General features: G+C 53.2%; 1 protein-coding gene across 18 annotated transcripts in view, besides 4 other annotated features; it reads right to left on the reverse strand.

Annotated features, from left to right (window-relative positions):
• The window catches only part of ABCB9 (ATP binding cassette subfamily B member 9), a 56,505-nt gene that overhangs the window by 24,510 nt on the left and 10,171 nt on the right, over window positions 1–21,824 (reverse strand). For 12 of the 18 annotated variants that reach the window (XR_007063061.1, XR_001748647.3, XR_001748646.3 and 9 more), the window contains 6 exons: window positions 16,516–17,203; window positions 7,332–7,446; window positions 6,669–6,799; window positions 5,505–5,710; window positions 2,906–3,103; window positions 1,272–1,400 (listed from right to left, as the gene is read on the reverse strand). Coding sequence is in view for 11 of the 18 variants with exons in the window: in NM_001243014.2 (NP_001229943.1) it covers window positions 1,272–1,400; window positions 2,906–3,103; window positions 5,505–5,710; window positions 6,669–6,799; window positions 7,332–7,446; window positions 16,516–17,116 (1,380 nt within the window). In the remaining 7 variants the exon portion in view is untranslated. Of the gene's footprint in view, window positions 1–1,271; window positions 1,401–2,905; window positions 3,104–5,504; window positions 5,711–6,668; window positions 6,800–7,331; window positions 7,447–8,356; window positions 12,486–16,515; window positions 17,204–21,824 lie in introns of those variants that run through there. The other 6 variants (XR_007063062.1, NM_001438398.1, NM_019624.4 and 3 more) reach the window with 3 other exon arrangements.
• Window positions 2,052–2,861: an enhancer, noted in NCBI's record as "H3K4me1 hESC enhancer chr12:123429718-123430527 (GRCh37/hg19 assembly coordinates)". NCBI's record gives its function as "activates a minimal SCP1, AML or CMV promoter by ChIP-STARR-seq in primed H9 embryonic stem cells {active_cell/tissue: H9 hESC(primed)}" and the evidence as "EXISTENCE:reporter gene assay evidence [ECO:0000049][PMID:30033119]".
• Window positions 3,492–4,240: an enhancer, noted in NCBI's record as "H3K4me1 hESC enhancer chr12:123431158-123431906 (GRCh37/hg19 assembly coordinates)". NCBI's record gives its function as "activates a minimal SCP1, AML or CMV promoter by ChIP-STARR-seq in naive H9 embryonic stem cells {active_cell/tissue: H9 hESC(naive)}" and the evidence as "EXISTENCE:reporter gene assay evidence [ECO:0000049][PMID:30033119]".
• Window positions 3,763–4,032: an enhancer, noted in NCBI's record as "active region_7245". NCBI's record gives its function as "activates an Ori minimal core promoter by ATAC-STARR-seq in GM12878 lymphoblastoid cells {active_cell/tissue: GM12878}" and the evidence as "EXISTENCE:reporter gene assay evidence [ECO:0000049][PMID:35858748]".
• Window positions 4,103–4,162: an enhancer, noted in NCBI's record as "active region_7246". NCBI's record gives its function as "activates an Ori minimal core promoter by ATAC-STARR-seq in GM12878 lymphoblastoid cells {active_cell/tissue: GM12878}" and the evidence as "EXISTENCE:reporter gene assay evidence [ECO:0000049][PMID:35858748]".

Here is a 21,824-nt window from a genome sequence, read left to right on the forward strand (position 1 = left end):
CAATGGCTGATGGCAGCTTGGGTGTAAACACCCCAGCTCCCTGGCCCTCAGATGGGATGACTCTGGTGCTGGTGTCCTACCCTGTCCGCTAGAAGGATCCCACCTCAGTTGCCCACACTGGTAACTGGCTCCACAACTCACTCTGCTGACTTCCTTCCTTCCACGTCTCACTTTCCACTCCCACCCCCGTTTCCTGAGATCACCTCCCAAACAAATCCGTTGCACGCCAATTCTGTCTCAGGATCTGCTTGTGCGGAAACCAAAATCAAGACAATCTAAAACACCCTTGCATTTCCGAGGCACTACGCTGGAAGTAGGCTGGGAGGAAGTCAGGCCCGGCTGGCCCTGAGCCCCGTTCCCGAGCAAATGTGATGGACGAGTCACTCCACCGCTCAGGTTCAGTTTTCTTTTCATCACTTCAATTTCTCACAGAGCTGTTAAGACCATTTTCTGAAATCACCTCTGTCCCTAAAGGGTGTTGCTGTCACTTGTTGGTAGTATTATCATTCTTTCTTTCTTTTTTTTTTGAGATGGAGTTTCGCTTTGGTTGCCCAGGCTGGAGTGCAGTGGCGCGATCTTGGCTCACTGTAACCTCTGCCTCCCGGGTTCAAGCGATTCTCCTGCCTCGGCCTCCTGAGGTGTGAGCCACCGCACCTGGCCCTTTCTTTCTTTTTGAGACACGGTCTCTCTCTGTCGTCCAGCCTGGAGTGCAGTGGCGTGATCACGGCTCACTGCGGCCTTGACCTCCCAGGCTCAAGCGATTCTCTAGCCTCAGCCTCCTGAGGACCTGGGATTACAGGCACATGCCACCATACTCGGCTTGCCTATTTATTTATCAAGACGGAGTCTCGCTCTGTCACCCAGGCTGGAGTACAGTGGTGCGATCTCAGCTCACTGCAACCTCTGCCTCCAGGGTTCAAGCAATTCTCCTCTCAAGTAGCTGGGATTACAGGTACCCACCAACACGCTTGGCTAATTTTTGTGTTTTCAGTAGAGATGGGGTTTCACCATGTTGGCCAGGCTGGTCTCGAACTCCTGACCTCAAGTGATCCACCCGCCTCCGCCTCCCAAAGTTCTGGGATTATAGGCGTGAGCCACCACGCCCTGCCTAGTATTATCATTCTTGATATGATCATGCTGTCTCCCCTACTTACCTTAGAGAGAAATACCACATTGTCAGAGTCCCTGGAGCCCCGCCCCCACCCTGTTAAGATCCCTCTTCCCCAAACTCCTCCCTTCTCTCTGGATCCCCGGACACACTGGCCTCTCACCTCCATACAATCTCCCAGGACAAACTCGTAGATGATGAAGGCGATGAGGTTGCCGCTGGTCATCTGGCCTGAGATGACAAGGTGGCCCCCGTAGTAGAGGATGCTGACCTGGACCACCAGCAGTGTGAGCTGGGGCAGAGGGAGAGGGGATGTGGGTCGAGGGGACCTTAGATCCCCCACCATCCCCATTCCCTGACCCATCCCAGGCTGCAGGGGGAGGTGAGGGCAGACCCAGCCACAAACTGAAATGCCGGCCGTTGGCAGGGGTGTCTTCCAAGGCTTGTCACTCATGCCTTCCCCTGCCCCGAGCATTTCCCTACAGAGGCCTCCAGCTGGAGCAGGCTGTGGGCTTGGCCACAGAACAAGGCTTTCTTTGTGAGGTCCTGGCACACACATGCCACCCCCAGGCTCCTCAGCTTGGCCACCTGGGAACTATTCGTCCTCCTCATGGGGAAGAGCATGACTCAGAGAGGGCAAGTGCCCTGGCTAAGGTCACACAGTGAGCTCTCTGTCTCCTCCCCCAGTGGGGTTCCGTGAAGAAGGGGCTGTGATGGGAGCGCCCATGCCTTCCTCCTGTGCCTGGGGGGCATCTGGGAAGGGAGTGGAGTCTGAGTACCCATGGCAGCCCACACCCTAGTCAGGGACTCCATCTGTCCTCCTCATGCCCAGCCAGAACTAGGCTGCTGTCTGGACCACCGTGCCTTGGTGGAAGCTGCAAAGGCACCCCCTGCCAGCAGACGGATTGCTAAGAGGCTCAGCTAGCTGAGCTGGACCTTAGCCCCTCCTCTCCTCCTTGGCTGATACTTTTGGGAGGTGGCAGCACCAGGAAGTCCCAGATATCCTCTTTCCCCTGGCTCCCCTGTAGACCACCAGCTCCCTCCTCCCTCTCACTCCAAACCCTCCTCATTCCTCCGCAGCTATGCCCTGACCTGCCCACCTCCCATGTGTGTCCAGTGTAGCAGTGACATGATCCAAGTGCTCCCCATCCTCCAAGGAGAGGCTGTGACGCACTCCCGGGAGTGTGCCAGACACTGTCGGGAGTGTGTGTGGCTGTGACATGAGACCTGCCCGAAAGTGGCCTAGGGACCTGCTGACTCCCCACCTCAGCAAGGATGTTTCCCCAGCTGGGAAAAGAAAGCTCCCACCCTGCCACCCCACGTCAGGTGACTGGGAGAGGGGCAGCCTTGCTTCTGGGAAAGATTCTCAGCAGGGCGCGGTGGCTCACGCCTGTAATCCCAGCACTTTGGGAGGCTGATGCGGGTGGATCACCTGAGCTCAGGAGTTCGAGACCAGCCTGGCCAAGATAGTGAAACCCCGTCTCTACCAAAAATACAAAAATTAGCCAGGCATGGTGGCGGGCGCCTGTGGTCCCAGCTATGCAGGAGGCTGAGGCAGGAGAATCGCTTGAACCCAGGAGGCGGAGGTTGCAGTGAGCTGAGATGGTGCCACTGCACTCCAGCCTGGGTGACAGAGTGAGGCTCTGTCTCAAAAAAAAAAAAAAAAAAAAAGAAAGACAGACAGATTCTCCACCAGCTTGACACCAACATGCAGGACTGATGTCCTAGATCGAGGGCTTCCCCCATCTTTGCATCCCATCCCTCCACAGCCAGAGCTGCCTGGCCAGGGGCACGTACCCCGCTGCCCCAGACGTAGTACATGTAGGCAGCTGCCTCCTTCCTGTTCAGCTTGTACACCTGCTGCAGCTTCCGCAGGTACACCTCTGCCTCCTCCTCCTCATTGGCGAAGCTCCGGACAGTCTTCATGGCACTGATGGTCTCCTCCGCCGTGTTGCTCGCTCTGGCCAGGGCATTCTGGACCTCTTTGGAGAGCCTCTATGGACAGGAGGGGGACAAGAAGGAGAAGACCCCAAAACAGCCTCACTATGTACTGGAGCCCCCAGGCCTCTCTGGGTTTTTCCACCCTTCGCTGGCACCAGCTATATGCAAGAGGTTCCTAGGACAAAAAGACAAGATCTAGCCCTTTCTCCCCCATCCCCTTCTGGCTCAATTTGACACACTCAGGTAGTCAACTCCAGAGAGGCTCTTGGGGCAATGGTTTCAGCTCCTGAAGGATAGGGCACGGTGCTGATCGTTAAGTCATCCCCAGTATTCAAAAGAGGCTATTCATGACTGGACAGTTTTTGGTAATCCTTTCAGAAAAGGGGCCTCAACACCTGACCCTGTGCTGGAAGAGCAGGGGATGCCTTGGACGGTTGTTCAGGTTGTACACTATTTAAGAAACACCAACTATTAAAGGGGCACCATTTACATCATCAACATAAATTATGTTAGAGCCTGAGGGTTGATAAAGAGATTCCAGAACTCCCAGCCAAGTTCTACATGGTGGCAGGGGCCATGGGTTGTGAAATCTGCCCACACCATGTGCATGTCACCACAGGCAGAGCTGAAAAGTGGTCCCAAGTGTGCGGCCATCAGGCTGCTGTTCACCAGAGTCCTGGAAGAGGCCCCTGGGTGGAGCTGTTCACACTTTGCAGGAGTCACTATGCTGATTCTCAAGCCAGCCAGGAAGGCTGCCTGAGAGTCCAGGACAGGAGCATGCACTGGCATGTCCCATGACCATGTGTCACGCCCCAGCCGCAGGAAGCATGCAGGGTGCCTGAGTCATGTTTGGCCATGGGCGGTGTGTGTGGTTTGTGGAGATGACTCGCTGGCTACACACAACACATTCAGGCATGGGGTGGAAAACCCAAACAGAGCCTTCCTGAGGCCTCCCTTAGCTGAACTAAAAGGCAGGGCCTGCAGTGCACACAGAGGTGGGGGCTGAGGGGGAGCTCCAGGGTTTCTTGCTCCATCCCAGGGGCTGGTGGGAAGGCCGGAAGCAAGGGGTGGGGAGCAGCGTGCCAGAAATGGCTCAGACTCTAAAGAATAGATTTACTTTCTCATCTCAGTGAGGACGGTGGGGAGGCTCGTGACCAGGAACTTCGGGAAGAGGTCCTACCTGTGTGGCTGGAGAAGACTGTGGGGAGTGGCCTCACCGGGGGCTGGGTGGGAGATGGCTTCCTTTGCTACCCTGGTCTCAGGTCACCAACACCAAAGGCTCCAATGGAGCTGCGACAATGACTTACCCGGCACCACCTGGAGGCCGTCATGCATCCAAGCCCCTGCTCTAGAAGTACCCCACGTGGGCCTGGGTGACTGTGAGGGGGTTGCCTGTACCTGTCACAGGGTCACAGCCCTGCCTGTCTGAACCCAGCCTGTCTGTCCCTTAGGGCTCGGGGGCACCCGCCCATTCAGGAAGCAGGAGGAGGGTGAGGTCAAACCTGGCTCACGGCCCTAGCTCGGAAGCAGAAGCAGTGCCGTGGGGTGGCCAGAGGGGACAGCAGCCTGCCCATGATGGCATCACAGCGGGCCCGCGATGGCATCACAGCGGGCCCGCACCACCCCCACATACACACCAGGCACGTTCCAACCCAGGGCCTTTTCACTGGCTGTGCCCTCTGCTCAGCACATACCTCCCAAGATGCCCGCCTCCTTCAGACCCTTATTCAGATGTCCCCTTCTCAGCAAGACCTATTTAACTTGTATTTATTCATTCATTTTAGAGACAGGGTCTTGCTGTGTCACCCAGGCTAGAGTATAGTGGCACGATCATTGCTCACTACAGCCTCGACCTCCTGGGCTCAGGCGATCCTCCACCTCAGCATCCCAGGTAGCTGGGACCACAGGCATGCGCCACCAAGCCCAGCTAACTAAAAAAAATTTTTTTTTGTAGAGATGGGGTCTTGCTATATTGTCCAATCTTGTCTCGAACTCCTAGGCTCAAGTGGTCCTCCTGCCTGTGCCTCCCAAAGTTCTGGGATTACAGGCATGAGCCACCGGGCCCAGCCAGTAAATCCAATTTAAAATTGCAGCTACACCCAATGCTCCCAATCCCTCTGCTCACTTCATGTTTCTCCTTAGCACTGACCATCTTTTACTGTATTGTGGATTCTCATTCTTTATGCTGTTGGTACCTAGTATCTGTCTCTGACACTAGATACAAGTTCCAGGAAGGCAGGGGCCTTGTCTTTTTCACTGATGTATCCCAGTGCCTGGGACATAGCAGGTGGTCAATAATTATTTATTGAATGAGCGAAGAAATGAATGAATGAATGCAAACACAGCCTCAAGACCTGTCCTTCACTAGCCCTTAGTGGCCCCCTGAGCCCCTCCTAAGGGGATGTTTGGGGGCTGCCAGGGTGCACAGTCCCCAGCAGAGACAGGGCAGGCCTACCTTGTAGTACTTGCCGTAGATGTTGGACACCATCATGATGATGGGGAAGCCCATGAAGGTGACCAAGGAGAGCTGCCATGAGAGGCTGAACATGAAGACCACCACGCCCGTGACCTTGACTGTGTTCCGCAGGAAGACATTGATGTTCTGGGAGACCAGGTCGCTGACCATGGTGGTGTCCGAGGTCAGGCGGGAGATGAGGTCCCCTGGAACACACGCGGCTCAGCTCTCACCACAGCAACCCGGGCCTTGGGGGTGGCGGTGGGGGATGCTAAGGGGCCTCTGAGACAGACACTGGGAAGCCGGGCCTCCCTACCTGTGGGCGGGGTTGGGGGGTGGGGGAGAAGAGCAGATACCCCTCGAGGGCTACTCTGAGCCAATCCCAGTCATCAGCATCTTGCTTAAGCTTCATGACATCCCGCTGTACAGCGGAGGAGGCTGGGGCTCAGAACAGGAAGGCCCCCGTAGAGTCACACAGCCTGTCCGTGACTGAGCCAGACTTCAAACCCATGTCTCCTCCCTGTCACTGGCAGAGGGGGTAACTCCTCTTCCCTTCTAGGGAAATAACAACCTGGCTGGTGGCGGGCAGGAAAGCGCAGACACTTCTTACCTAAGTTGGACATTGTGCTAAGAGCTGTGTAAGGACCCCATGGGGTGGCTACTATCCGTGTTCCCATTTTACAGACAAGAAAACAGAGGATCAGAGAGGTGAAGTTCGTGAGTGGAGGAACCAGGGCTTCGACCCAGGCCGGTGTCTCTCAGAGCTTGGATCTTGGTGGATATTCTATCGTCTTCCCCGTTGTGGCCCCTGGCCCTCACCTGCTGACCCCCATGGGAGCAGGGTCTCTGTCGGCCACAGGCGTGGGTAGTCCTGGACCTGGTGGTTTCCATGGGGCAATGGAAAGCAAGGCCTTGGCTCCTGCAGGGACCTCGGGTGGCCTGGCCTGGGCCCCACAGAGGCCGCAGCCCACACCAAAACCTCAGTGAGCAAGCCAGCTCCCAGGACACAGGCCAAGCCCAGGGTGTTCCCAGCCTGAACTAACAGCAGGAGGAGAAGACAGAGGGCTGAGACCACCCACACGCCCATTTCATTCCTCAGTGCCAGGCAAGCCCACAGGGGTGGGGCCCAGCCCCCAGGACACCTAGGGCACTGGAAGGACCAACCTGTGCGGTTCTCATCAAAGAAGCTTGTCTCCTGGGACACCAGTGAGCGGAAGAGACAGTTTCGAAGGCGAATGTTCAGTCTGGCAAATATGAGGGTAAAAATGCCGCCCCGAATACCTGCGGCAAATGAGCTAATTGCAGATAAGAGATATTATAGCACGATGTCCTTCCAGACCAGTGACCACACCCGGCTGCCCCCTCCCGCTGCCGGCAGGCCTGGGAGCCCCACCGCAGCCCCACTCCAGGGCTGGCATCCCTGCGGGGTCCCCCTCATTCCCAGTGGGAGCCCCCCTCAAGGTGAGGGCAAAGGGGACAGTTGTGGGACAAGAGACCCAAATGTGCCAGCCAGACCCTCTTCCTTCCAGAACAGCTCAGACAAAGCCGGTTCTGTTTGGGACCAGATTCCTACTTGGAAAACAGCCAGGGAGGGTGAGCAGGGAACCCTGAGGACTGAAGCCCTTTTCAGGGACCAGAGGGTGTGGTTCTAGGGTGCTCTAAGACAGTGTGGAAGCCGGTTCCCAGGGTGACCAGCTGAGGGACAGGCCCACCAGGGGCATTTCCAGGGCCTCCCTGGCCCCTGTCTTCCTTAGGAACAGGCCCTCCCTTCCCTCCCTGGTGCAGGTCGGGGTGTGCGGGGCAGGGCGTGGGGGTTGAGCCAGCTACCTGCCAATGGCCAGCAGGCACACGATGACGACAGCCGTGCTGAACTGATCCATGCTTTTCTGGATGACGATGCCATCAATGGCGCGGCCCGTGTAGTAGGGCAGGAAGGTCTCTCCTGGGGGAGGCAGGGCAGCCTCAGGGACGTCTGCAGCCAGGGGAACCCGCACCCTTCCTCCTGAGGCTCCAGAAGTCCACACACCAACCCCTCTGCCCACTCCACCGGTGGGCTTTCCTCCCTCGGCAAACTCTTGCTGCCCATCGTGGGGCCCCAGGGTGCTTAATGCCCCCCTCCTCAGAGAACAGGGGAGCACTGGGCCTTGCATCCACACAGCCTGCTGGTTCTTCTTTATTTATAGTGGCTACCAGGCATCGAGCCAGGGCTCCTGCAGGATGCTTCATTCTCTTGTTTTTTGAGACAGGGTCTCGCTGTGTCCCCCGGGCTGGAGTGCAGTGGTGTAATCATAGCTCACTGCAGCATCAAACTCCTGGGCTCAGGTGATCCTCCTGTCTCAGCCTCCTGAGTAGGGAATACAGGCATGTGCCACCATGCCAGGCTAATTTTTTTTTTTTTTTTTTTGTAGAGACAGGGGTCTCACTATGTGGCCCAAGCTGGTCTCAACCTCCTGGGTTGAAGCAATCCTCCTACCTTGGCCTCCCAAAGTACTGGGATTATAGGTATGAGCCACCGCTCCTGAACTTTGTTTCATTCCCTTTGGAGCAGGCCCTGGAATCACCCCCATTTTACAAATGAGAAAAATTAATTTGTTTTTCTTTTTCTAAAATATTTTCCTTTTTTTTTTTTTTTTTAACTTTTTGAGACAGGGTTTCACTCCTGTCGCCCAGGCTGGAGTGCAGCCTCAACCTCCTGGGCTCAGTGGATCTTCCCACCTCAGACTCCTGAGTAGCCGGGACTACAGGCACACGCCACCAGGCCTAGCTAATTTTTTGTATTTTTTTGTAGAGACGAGGTTTCGCTAGGTTGCCCAGGCTGGTCTCTAACTCCTGGGCTCAAGCGATCCACCCACCTCAGCTTCCCAAAGTGCTGGGGTTACAGGCCTGAGTCACAGCGTCCGGCTGAAAGTGAAGTTGAATGAGATGACTCGTCCAGGCCACATGGCAATCAGTGGCTGATTGACGCCAAAGTTGATTTCATTCTTCTCAATGGGTTCAGAGTCCAAATTCTGGAACCTCAGAAGACGTTGCTATTCTGGTTCCAAGCAATGCTGGAAATTGCCACCCCACCCCTCCTGGTGGGGCACTTGACACCTTGCTGGGTGCTTTCTTACCCGCTTGCCTTACTGTGTTTTCACAACAATCCTGGGGTGGAATGGGAGACTCACAGAGGCTGAGGAATTTACTCCAGGTCACACAGCAAGGGGAAAGGCTGGGACTCAAACCTAAACTGGCTTTCAACCTGGGGGCTCTTTCTTTTCCCTTCCTCCTGTGGTCTGAATGCATCTCCCAAAATTTACATATTGAAACATAATCGCCAATGTGATAGGGCAGAGCTCTCCAGGATGGGATGAGGGCCCTTTTCAAAGGGCTTGTAAGCCTGGTTTGCCATCTCTCGCCCTTCCACCTTCTGCAGCGTGAGGACACAGCAGTCTTCCCCTCCAGAGGACACAGCAAGGAGGGACCATCTTGGAAGCAGAGAGTGGCCCTCACGACACCAAACCTGCTGGCACCTTGATCTGGGACTTCCCAGCCTCTAGAACAGTACGAAATCAGTTTCTATGGTTTCTAAATGACCCAGTCTGTGGTATTTTGTTACAGCAGCAGAAATGAGACTCCCCCGACAATAATCCGGAATGTCCACTCTCCTCTTAAGGAAATAGTGGCATCACCAGGCCAGGCCAGGCCCTTGTTCATCCCAGGACCTGTTTCCACTGAAGTTCTTTCCATGAGCAGAGCCAGGTTTGGGGCTGGGCATACAGTAGGTGCTCAATAAAGGTCAGTGAATGAACCCCGGGCAGGTCTGGCTAGCACAGTCTGGCCTGGCTCAGACACTTGGGTAGTGAGACTTTCTGTGCAGTTCTGGTGCCCTCTGCTGGGACCATGAGGTGGCAGCCTAGAGGGCCTGTGTCCCCACAGTCCTTGGCCAGACGAGGTCTCCAGCTGAGGCTGCAGAGTTCCACCCAGCCTGAGTTTCTGCCTCAGTTTACCCACAGAAAAGAAGAGGGCAACGATGAGCTGTGACAGAATATTCTGGAATATCTGATTCCAGCAAGCACCAATGCTAATAATCGCCTTACTGGGTACCAGGGGCTGTGCAAAGCATGCCGGCAAACTCTCTTGCTGAATCTGCACAAGAATTACGTGAAACTCTCCAATGCACCAGCAAATACTCAGACCATTTCCAGAACCTGACCACTTTCACTGCCTCTACTGCCCCAACCCTGGTCCAAGTCATTAACCTCACTGGGACTATCTCAGTAGCCTGCTCTCAACTTTGCTCACATCAGCCTGTCCACACAGTAGAAGGCAGGATCCTGTTGGAACTAACTTCAGATCTTGTTGCTCCTTGGCTCAAAACAGTCCAAATCCCCCTTCTCATCCAGTGAGATGGTAAAAGCCAAAGTCTTTACAATAGCCCACAAGGACCTGCATGATTGAGCCGCTAGCAGAGACCTTTGTCTTCTCCCCGCCCCATCTCACTCCCTCTGCTCCAGCTAACTGGTGTCTGCTCTTGAACAACTGGGCACCTTCCTGCCTCAGGACCTTTGCATGGGCTAGTCCTTCTGCCTGGAGTGCTCTTACCACATACATTTTTTTTTTTTTTTGAGATGGAGTCTCAGTCTGTTACCCAGGCTGGAGTGCAGTGGCATGATCTCAGCTCACTGCAACCTCCACTTCCTGGGTTCAAGTGATTCTCATGCCTCAGCCTCCCAAGTAGCTGAGATTACAGGTGACCGCCATCACACCCGGCTAAATTTTATATATGTATATATATATTTTGAGATGGAGTCGCACTCCGTCGCCCAGGCTGGAGTGTATTGGCACGATTTCAGCTCGCTGTAACCTCTGCCACCTGGGTTCAAGTGATTGTCCTGCCTCAGCCTCCCGAGTAGCTGGGATTACAGACACCTGCCATTGCACCTGGCTAATTTTTGTATTTTTAGTAGAGATGGGGTTTCACCATGTTGGCCTGGCTGATCTTGAACTCCTGACCTCGTGATCCACCTGCCTTGGCCTCCCAAAGTGCTGGGATTACAGGCATGAGCCATCGCACCTGGCCTAAATTTTATATTTTTATTAGAGACAGGGTTTCACCATGTTGCCCAGGCTGGTCTTGAACTCTTGACCTCAAGTGATCTGCCCGCCTCGGCCTTCCAAAATGCTGGGATTACAGGTGTGAGCCACCACACCCAGCCACTTACCCCAGATATCTGCTCCCCTACCTTCTTAAGTCTCAAAGGCCACCCAGTAATCCTATAGGTTTGGTACAATTATTCCTTCCATTTGTGGAAATGTATTCTTTACACAAAAGAGGAAACTGAGGCTCAGAGAGATTAAGTCACTTGCCCAAGTTTATACATTTGGTTTGCCATGAAATCCATATTAAAGAATCTTAGGCTACAGAAGGTAGCTCACACCTGCAATCCCAGCACTTTGGGAGGCCGAGGTGGGAGGATCACTTGAGCTGGAGAGGTCAAGGCTGAAGTCGCTGTGATCACTCCACTGTACTCCATCCAGCCTGGGTGACAGAGGGAGGCCCTGCCTCAAAAAAAAAAAAAAGGACTCCATTTGTTTTTTATGTATTTTTTTTATTTTTTTTGAGACGGAGTTTCACTCTTGTTGCCCAGGCTGCGATGCAATGGTGCGATCTCCACTCACAGCAACCTCTGCCTCCTGGGTTCAAGCGATTCTCCTGCCTCAGCCTCCCGAGTAGCTGGGATTACAGGCATGCGCCACCACACCTAGCTAATTTTGTATTTTTAGTAGAGACGGGGTTTCTCCATGTTGGTCAGGCTGGTCTCGAACTCCTGACCTCAGGTGATCTGCCCCCCCTTGCTGAGATTACAGGTGTGAGCCACCGTGCCCGGCCTATTTTTTATTTTTTGAGACAGAGTCTCATTCCGTCACCCAGGCTGGAGTGCAGTGGCACGATATCAGCTCACTGCAACCTCCACCTCCCAGGTTCAAGCAATTCTCCTGCCTCAGCCTTCTGAGCAGCTGGGATTACAGGCGTGTGCCACCACGCCCGGCTGATTTTTGTATTTTTAGTAGAGACGGAGTTTCACCATGTTGGCCAAGCTAGTCTTGAACTCCTGACCTCAAGTGATCTGCCCACCTCAGCCTTCCAAAGTGCTGGGATTATAGGTGTGAGCTGCTGCACTTGGCCTCTAAAGAACCTTAATTTAATAAGAGATACTCAACCCTAAAACTAACATTTCCCAATGGGTGGTTTTTTGTTTTTTGTTTTTGTTTGTTTGTTTTAAGATTCTGAGGGTACAGAAAAGCTGGGCACTGCTGAATGCTTGTTGATTGAAAAATAATTATTAATAATCACAGTACCTAATTGTCTTTTTTGAGATGGGGTCTCGCTATGTTGCCCAGGTTGGTCTCAAACTCCTAAGCCAAAGCAACCCTCCCTCCTTGGCCACCCAAGTAGCTGCGGTCACAGGTACATGGCATTGCACCTGGCCCTAACACTGATTAAGTATTTACTTGTGCTAGGCACCAAGCTTCCTCTCACTTCTTTCTCACAGTACCCCAAGAAAGCCCTCACTTCAGAATGGTCAAGTGAGCGTTGGCCAGGTTAATAACTTGCCTAAAGTTATCAGTGAAGTCGGGAGCCTGAGCCTCGAGTCTGCGCCCTGACTCTTGATGCAATCCTGCAAGCCGGGAAAATCTGCTCAGCAGTATTTAAGGATGTCTGCATTCCCCGACCACACAGCAGCTGACGGCAGGGCCCCAGCAGGTCGGGTAAACAAGGTCATGGCATGGGGCACCATCTGTCTGCACAGGCATGACAGTCATTCATACTTTTGTTCATTTATTCATTCAGTGAGCCCATCTCTGTGCCAGCTACTGGGATCCAGGGTGAGTCAGACCTGGCCCCTGCCCCTGAGGGGCTCAGGACCTGGGAGGGGAGGCAGGAGGGTGAATGCATACATAACAGGGTCTTGCTATGTTGGCCAGACTGGTCTTGAACTCCTGGCCTCAAGTGATCCTCCTGCCTCAGACTCCCAAAGTACTGGCATTGTAGGCATGAGCCACTGTGCCCAGCATAAATGCATAGTTTTTTGGGTTTTTGTTTTTTTGTTTTTTTTTTTTTTGAGACGGAGTCTCACTTTGTTGCCTAGGCTGGAGTGCTGTGGCACAATCCCAGCTAACTGCAGCCTCCACCTCCTGGGTTCAAGATATCCTCCTGCATCAGCCTTCTGAGTAGCTGGGATTACAGGCGGCTGCCACCATGCCCAGCTAATTTTTGTAGTTTTAGTAGAGACGGGGTTTTGCCATATTGTCCAGGCTAGTCTCGAACTCCTAACCTCAGGTGATCTGCAGGCCTCAGCTCCCCAGAGTTCTGGGATTATAGGTGTGAGCCACCGTACCCAGCCTGAACATATGATTTTTATGTCATAAAAGCTATAACTGAGGTGCAGACAAAGTTACCACAGTTGGCAGAATCTAAGGTGGCTTCCTAAGGAGGGGACTTTTGGGCCGCCCAGCATGAGCCAGGAGAAACTGCCTGGTTTAATGGGAAGGGGTCATCCCAGTCCTCACACCTGCTAGTATTACTGGGAGGTGTCTATGTGCCAGGAGCTGTCCAAGGTGTCTCACCCATGTGGATTCACTGACCTTTCCAACCCCATTGGAGGGGTACTACTATGCCCATGTCACAGAAGAGGAGGCTAAGACTTAGAGGGGTTAAATAACTTGCCTAACCTCACACAGATGTTGAGGAGATGGGACTGAGAGGGCAGAGGTAGATCGTAGGAGTACAGGGCTGCAGAGTCAGGGCCAGCTCTGGGTTTGCCTGTCCTCTCTCAGAACATTCTGGCATTGTTATTGCATTGTCACCTCTCTAGGCTCTGTCTCTGTCAGTTAACATTTTTATTTTACTATTTTATTATTTATGTTTTTTGAGATGGAGTCTCACTTTGTCACTCAGGCTGGAGTGCAGTTGTGTGAGCTTGGCTCACTGCAACCTCTGCCTCCCAGGTTCAAGCAATTCTCCTGCCTCAGCCTCCCAAATAGCTGGAATTACAGGCGTATGCCAGCACATCTGGCTAAGTTTTATATTTTTAGTAGACATGGGGTTTCACCATGTTGCCAGGCTGGTCTCGAACTCCTGACCTCAGGTGATCCACTTGCCTCGGCCTCCCAAAGTGCTGGGATTATAGGCATGAGCCACTGTGCCCGGCTAATATTTATATATCTTTTAGCAGAGACGGGGTTTCACCATGTTGGCCAGGCTCGTCTCAAACTCCTGACCTCAAGTGATCTGCCCACCTCGGCCTCCCAAAGTGTTGGGATTACAGGCATGAGCCACCGCGCCCAGCTTAAAATTTTTAAAACTCATAATAGCTAACAACCCTGAGCACTTACCATGACAAGCCAAGCTCTGTACTTAGTCCTTCTCCTATTTTTTTTTTTTTCTTTGGTAGAGACAGGTCTTGCTCTGTTGCCCGGGCTGGAGGGCAGTGGCGTCATCATGGCTCACTATAACTCAAGCTCCTGAGCTCAAGGGATCCTCCCACCTTAGCCTCCTGAGTAGCTGGGACTATAGGCAAGTACCACCATGCCCAGCTAATTAAAAAAACATTTCTTTTAGAGACAGGGTCCTGCTGTGTTGCCCAGAGTGGTCTCAAACTCCTGGGCTCAAGTGATCCTGTAGCCTTGGTCTCCCAAAGTGCTGGGATTAGACATGAGCCACTGCACCCAGCTCTCCCGTTCTTTTCAGCATCTAAAATGTCAGGAAATAAGGACTCCAACAATCCTTGTTGCACAGAGGAGGGAAGTGAGGCTCAGAAAGGCTGGAGAACTTACGCAGGGCCACTCGGCTGGGTAGGGAGCAGGACAGGGATTTGTGCCCAGGCCTCGTTGCCCCCAGAACCTGTGAGCTCCAACCATGCAGTGCCACCTTCCCACCCATGTTGCTGAGTGGTGCCTTCAAACTGTTTGGACCAGACTCACAGGCACAAATACATTTCATGTCACAAACCAGGCCACACCTGCACGTAGGCACACACAACTAAAATATTAATATCTTTTTTTTTTTTTTTTGGTCTCAAACTGCTGAGAGTTTTTTTTTTTTTTCGTTATCTGCCTGCCTCGGCCTCCCAAAGCGCTGGGATTACAGGCATGAGCCACCATGCCTGCCCACTCTGATGTTTTCTAGTCTATTCTCTGATGATCCCAGCTCCAGGAATTTATTCTACAGATCCATCCACATTCATATGAAATGTGTATGAACAGAATTATTGACGTGCAGGTCGGGCGCAGTGGCTCATGCCTGTAATCCCAGCACCTTGGGAGGCCAAGGCAGGCAGATCGCTTGAACTCAGGAGTTTGAGACTAGCCTGGCCAACATGGTGAAACCCTGTCTCTACTAAAAATACAAAAATTAGCCAGACGTGGTGGCAGGCGCCTGTAATCCCAGCTGCTTGGGTGGCTGAGGCAGGAGAATCGCTTGAACCCAGGAGATGGAGGTTGCGGTGAGCCAAGATCGCACCACTGCATTCCAGCCTGGGTGACAGAGCAAGACTCCATCTCAAAAAAAAAAAAAAAAAAAAAATTCATGTTAAGAGGAAAAGGCTCAAAATAACCCAAGAGTCAAATGATGGGAGACCAACTAAATAATCTATGGTATAGCCGCACAATGGAATATTATGAAGCCAAATAAAACAATGAGGTACTGGTTGGAAAAATTCCAGAACATATTGTTAAGTGAAAAGAGCAAAACATAAAACAATGTGGGTGAGAGGTGGGGGAGTGATGCATGTTCTTTTGATGTGCTTGTAGCTGCATAAGGAAAAGCTGGGAACATGCACAAGAATTGAGTAAGAAAGAATGCTTTCCTGGCCACCTGGGAGTTTCTGGGTCCTTTTCCTGCAGTTAGCCCTGGGCAGAATGATCAGGGTAGAATTAGAAGTGAAACACAGCCAGGCATTGTGGCTTGCGCCTGTAATCCCAGTGCTTTGAGAGGCCAAGGTGGGAGGATCACTTGAGCCCAGGAGTTCGAGATCAGCCTGGACAACATAGTGAGATCCTATCTTTACAAATTTTTCTTTTTTTAATTAGCTGGGTGTGGTGCACGCCCCTGTAGTCCCAGCTATTTGGAAGACTGAGGTGGGGGGATTACTTGAGCCTGGGAGGTTGAAGCTGCCGTAAGCTGTGATCATGCCACTGCACTACAGCCTGGGCAACAGAGTGAGACCCTGTCTAAAAAAAGAAAAAAACAGGAGTGGAACTCATAGTTTCCTTTTTCTTCTCTTGTCTTTTACTTTTTCCTTTTTTAAATTGAGATGGGGTCTTGTCATATTGCCCAGGCTGGTCTTGAACTCCTGGGCTCAGGCAATCTTCCCACCTTGGCCTCCCAAAGTGCTGGGATTACAGGCGTGAGCCACCGCGCCTGGCCTATTTTTTCGTTTTAAATTACATAAAATAGAAATGGGGCAGGCACCGTGGCTCACGCCTGTAATCCCAGCACTTTGGGAGGCCGAGGCCAGTGGATCACCTGAGGTCAGGAGTTCAAGACCAGCCTGGCCAACATGGCGAAAACCTGTTTCTACTAAAAATACAAAAATTAGTTGGGTGTGGTGGCATATGCCTGTAGTCCCAGCTACTTGAGAGGCTGAGGCAGGAGAATCACTTGAAGCTGGGAGGCAGAGGTTGCAGTGACCTGAGATTGTGCCACTGCACTCTAGCCTAGGTGACAGAGCAATACTATGTTTCGAAAAAATAAATAAATACAATAAATAAATAAATAAATAAAATAGAAATGGGTTCTCGCTATGTTGCCCAGGCTGGTTTTCAACTCCTGGGCTCAAGTGATCTTCCTACCTCAGCCTCCCAAAGTGCTGGGATTATAGATATGAGCCACTATGCCTGGCCTCTTTTCCTTTTCATATCAATTTGATGTCTGAACCACGTAAGTAAAATCTTTTAAAATCTAAGGCAGTCATATCCACCTAATTTGATGTTCTGGTGGCCACATGTCCCCGAGGTCCTTACTTACCCAGAGCTGCCACGATGAGGAAGAAGGAGGCGGCCACGAGGAAGGCCACGTCGGGCTTGGTGTAGGAGAGCAGCTTCTGCAGCGTGGCCCCAGACGCCTGCTCGGGCGGTGGCCGGCCGCTCCCAGGGAAGCCCTCAGCCTCGGTGGCCGCCCCTGGCTCCAGGGCCTGGGTGCCTGGCCGCACGGTGGACAGCAGCCACCAGAGCAGGAAGGATGCGCCGAGTGAAATGTACGTCCACACGAACAGGGCCCAAAACCAGGGGTCCCGGATGGGCCTGCGCACCTCTGAGAAGAGCAGCAGCTTCACCATGGCATAGATGCCCACGAAGAGGCACACGAGGGTGATGACCAGCCACGAGGCCCGCAGCCGCCGGGGCCCCAGCGCACTGTTCTTGGCCACACCAATGGTGGCTCCCAGCAGCAGGCAGCTGCGGTACAGGCAGGCTGCCCAGAGATCCAGCACCGAGTCAAAGATGTTGAAGTGGCGGATGTCCTCCAGGAGGCTGCGGTCCAGGTGGCTGAAGACATAGATGGCCGTGGTCACGCAGATGTCCACACTCATGAAGGCCAAAGTCACCACCACCGCCTTCCACAGCCGCATCCTGCTGGTTGGAGGTGGGCGGGTGCTGAAGGCCAGGTTGTAGCTCACGGGGGCAAGGCCATCATCATCCACAGGGCGAGGCCAGGCCTGTAGGGACAACAGCAAACATCAGCACAAGGGGTTCAGGTTTGCCACTCGCTGGCTGTGTGACCTTGAGAAAGTCACTTGACATCTCTGAGCCTTAGTTTTCTCATCTGTAAAATGGCAATATCAACTTCCCGGGTACTAAGATTCCACTCATTCAAGGGATACTTACTGAGTGCCCACTGCGGCCAGGTGCTGTTCTTTGTTCTTTGTCATGAACAAAAAGAACAAAGATCCCTGCTCTCCTGGAGATGACATACTCATGCAGGAGACAGATAATAAGGAAATGGGCTCACGCCTGTAATCCCAGCACTTTGGGAGGCCGAGGTAGGTGGATCACCTGAGGTCAGGAGTTGAAGACCAGCCTGGCCAACATGGTGAAACCCCCATCTCTACTAAAAATACAAAATTTAGCTGGGTGACAGAGCGAGACTCCATCTCAAAAAAAAAAAAAAAAGATAATAAGGAAATAATGTGTGTCTTGTGAGGCCAAGGTTGGAGGATCCCTTGAGGCCAGGAGTTGGAGAGCAGCCTGGGCAACAGGGTGAGACCCTGTCTTTAAAAAGCAAACAAACAAACAAACAAACAAACATTAACTGAGTGTGGTAGCATGCTCCTGTAGTCCAAGCTACTTGGGAGGCCAAGATGGGAGGATCGCTTCTTCAGCCTGGGAGTTCGAGGCCACAGTGAGCTATGATCATGCCACTACACTCCAGCCCTGGTGACAGCAAGATCCTATCTCTAAAAAAAAAAATTTTTTTTAATTAAAAAAAGAGATAAGGGTTGTGGTGGAAAAAAGAGGGGGGTAAATAGGATGGGGTGAGGGTGAATAGGATAGGGGTGGGGGAAGACAGAGATCAATTTTATTTTATTTATTTATTTATTTGAGACAGAGTCTTGCTCTGTCGCCCAGGCTGGAGTACAGTGGTGCGATCCCGGCTCACCGCAACCTCCGTCTCCCTGGTTCAAGCGATTCTCCTGCCTCAGCCCCCCAAGTAGCTGGGACTACAGGTACCCCACCACCATGACCAGCTAACTTTTTGTATTTTTTTTAGTAGAGACGGGGTTTCACCATGTTGGCCAGGCTGTTCTCAAACTCCTGACCTCAAGTGATCCACATGCCTCAGTAACCCAAAGTCTGGGATCAAAAGCGTGAGCCACTGTGCGGGGCCAGAGATCAATTTTAAATAGGGGGCCAGAGAAGACCTCGCTGGGTAGGTAACACTTGAGCAAGACTTGAAAGAGTTATGGAAGTCTGCCAAGTGGCTATCTGGGGAAAAGCACTTGGCACAGGTGAAACAGTGCCAGAGCCCCAAGGCAGGAGTGCCCCTTGGGAAGGCAGCAAGGCCCCATGAGATCAGAGAGGGTGGGGAGTATCTGGAGGATTTTGCATCCATAGTGAGGACGAAGCTGAGATAAGCAGAGTTTAATAAACAGCCGCTGTCTTTACTACCACTACTCATTTCTCTGAACCTGTTTCCTCATTTGCAAAATGTGAGTGTGAGGTTCAATGTGTCAGTTCTGGGCAGAGTGCCTGGTGCATAATTGCTGCTGATTGTAATCAACCATATACAGTGTGTGCTTAATAAATGTTTGTCCACTTTTCTCCTCCCACGTCAGGCCTTCTATCTCTGCAACCCCAAATAAACTATTTTGGTCTAAGAGGGAACTTGACAGCTGTGGGGGTGGCTTGCAGGCCACACAGCAATCCAGAAACCTTGGCATCTGCTTGGAAGTTTCCAGAATCTTTTCCTCCTGCCCAGGTTGGCCCTCGTGCCCAGCCCTAGGCCCCTTTGGTTTTCTGAATCTTGATGTCTGCTTTATCCAAGGCATCTCCCGGCACTGGGTCCCTCAGGACTCCCCCAGAGCCGCAGGGACACCCGGGAAGTGGGCCTGGAGGCCTGAGTTTGTGAGTGGGGCTTGTCCACGGTAGGGTTAGGACCGGGCTGGGGTGTGTCCCTGGGTGCTACCTCCTGTCTCAGCTCCAGTCCTTCCTCCCGTGGGCCTTTTGTTGTCATATCTGCAAAATGGGCTGGGCTCTAGATCCCCCAAGAGGAGGGGTGAGGCGCTGGGTGACAGCGGGGATGACTGTCGTGGCTGGGAAGGGGCCATCCTGAGAGAGATCCTCTCCCCGAAGCTCTGGCGCCCAGGTGCCCAAACCGCTCACACTGTGGCATGACTGGAACCTCACACAGTCCCACGAGGCCAGGGTTTCCATATTCCCGTTTACAGTTAGGGAAACTGAGGCACAGAGAGACAAAACCACCTGATCCAGACATTCAGCCAACAAGGGCCCAAGCCAGGATGACTTGAGGCAGTCAGTGAGTGTAGGACCCCAGCATCTGCCTCTCCACCTGTCTACTGCATGCCTGGCACAAAGCAGTTGTCTAATAACTACAAGCAGACAGGGATGTAACACTGCACTTCCTGTGAGCCCTGCCCTGCACCATGTGCTTCAAATCCAGGTGGCCCCACCTATTTAATCCTCACAGCAACTTTGTGAGATGTGCACTGTCATCCCTTCCACTTAACAGATGGAGAAACTGAGGCCCAGAGAAGTGAAGAATTTGCCCAAGATTACACAGCTTCTGAATAGCAGAGCTGGGATGTGGATTCATAGGTGTCTGAGCCCAGAATCTGTGTTCTTCACCCCTAAACTAAGATAACATTCAATATAGAAAATGCTACCAGGGGCCAGGCATGGTGGCTCACACCTGTAATCCCATCTGGGCCTCTTGGGAGGCCAAGATGGGCAACAGCTTGAGCTCACGAGTTCGATTCCAGCCTGGGCAACATGGCGAAATCCCGTCTCTACTAAAAATACAAAAATTAGCCGAGCATGGTGGTGCACGCCTGTAACCCCAGCAACTCAGGAGGCTGAGGCAGAAGAATCACTTGAAACTGGGAGGTGGAGGTTGCGGTGAGCCGAGATTGCGCCACTGCACTCCAGCCTGGGTGACAGAGTGAAGGAAAATGCTACCGGGAAGTGTTCATCTAAGGAAAAGGGTCCCCAGCAGAGGGCTGGGCCGTGTGGCAGAGGTGATAAGACTGCTGAGGCTAATTGCTGGCAATGACAGCAGCTGGTGCCAGCTGACATTGGCTCCAGGCACTTACATGCGTCAGCACTCACCAGAGCCCTATGAAGTAGGTCCTATCATTATCCCCATTTTACAGTTAGGAAAACTGAGGAACAGAGAGATTAAGTGACCTGCCCTGGGTCACAGAGCTAGGTGACCCACAGAGTTGGGTCACAAGCTGGGATGTGAACCCTGGCCGTCCAGTTCCAAAATCTGTACTCTCAACTCCATAGCTCCAACCCTTCAAAACAGCCTCTCCAGGAGGTAGGCACAACCCCTACTAATGCTGAGAAGGGGTCTGAGATGCAGAGGGGGAATGGAGTGGGGGGATATAACAACCTCCAAGCCTGGGCCCTGCTTTCACCCCCACACCTCCAGGCACACCGAAGCCCATCGCAGAGATGACAGTTGCTTAGTCAGCAGCTGCCCCTCCAAAGACGGTCAGGGCCAAGCAGGGTCAAGGGCAAGGGGAAGTGGGTAGGATGGTCGGACACCCTCAGCCCAGGTCCTGGCTCCCTCCCCAGCCCTGCCTGTGCTGCCCACGCAGGCTCCTGTCTGCTGCAATGCAGAGGCCGTGGGGAGCGAGCGAGTGGGTGAGCTCCAGTCAGAGCCCAGGGAGGGAAGCTCCTGGCCTGGTGCCATTCCAGGCCTCCCAGCCAAGCCACTGCCGGCTGCACCAGGTGCTGCCAGCCGCCTCAGCTGCTGCTCTCCTCGTGGTGGGCACATGGGGTCCCTCAGTCCCCAGAAAGGGGCTCGGGCTCAGAAGTGGAACAGGAGGCAGATCCGCAAGAGACTCAAAACCTGGACAGCAGCCCAGGGGCTTGGCTGACTCTCCCAACCTGACTCCCAGCCTCTGGGGGAATTCCTTCCCCATCCCCCAACAGCCCAGGGTACCAGTCATGCCCCCCGCCTCCAGAAGCCTATTTATCTTCATCAGAATAAACAAAATTTCAAACACTCATATCGCAGACTACCAAAGCCACATTTTGCAGATGGGGAAACTGAGGCCCACAGAGGGAGGGGGTGAGGCTTGTCTCAGGTCATCCACCAGGCTGGGGCAGAGCAGTGCTAGCACCTGGGTCCCTGCCCCCAAGCACTAGTCCTTCTACCACAGACTCCTAGCAGAGTGGACTCCAGCCCCGGGTCGGGTTACAGTCCTCGGTGGGGACAGTTACTCCGTTATTTTTAAAGCTACTGGGCAGAAGCGTGACCACCAGCCAAGGCTGCTTAGAGGCCTGTCACCGCTCTCCAACTGCCTGACTCAGAGGATGCGCTGGGCTCGGCCAGGTGGAGCTGGAGGGCAAATTGTGAGCACATGGGTGACCTGCTTGGCCTGAGGGACAAGGACAAGGTGGTGGCCAGAATAGGCCCCACCCAGAACCGGACAAGGCCCAGGAAGACAGGGGTGGCTCGCCCTGACTCCGTGCACTAAAGAATGGCACAGGATAAGCAAGTGGCCTTGTCCCCACCAGGGGTCTTGTCAAAGGCTTTTCTTCCCAGGGTAGGAGACATTGGTTGGGGTATCTCTAGGCATCAGCTGCAGAGAA

Source organism: Homo sapiens, chromosome 12 (genome assembly GCF_000001405.40).
Source record: "Homo sapiens chromosome 12, GRCh38.p14 Primary Assembly".
Classification (NCBI taxonomy): domain Eukaryota; kingdom Metazoa; phylum Chordata; class Mammalia; order Primates; family Hominidae; genus Homo; species Homo sapiens.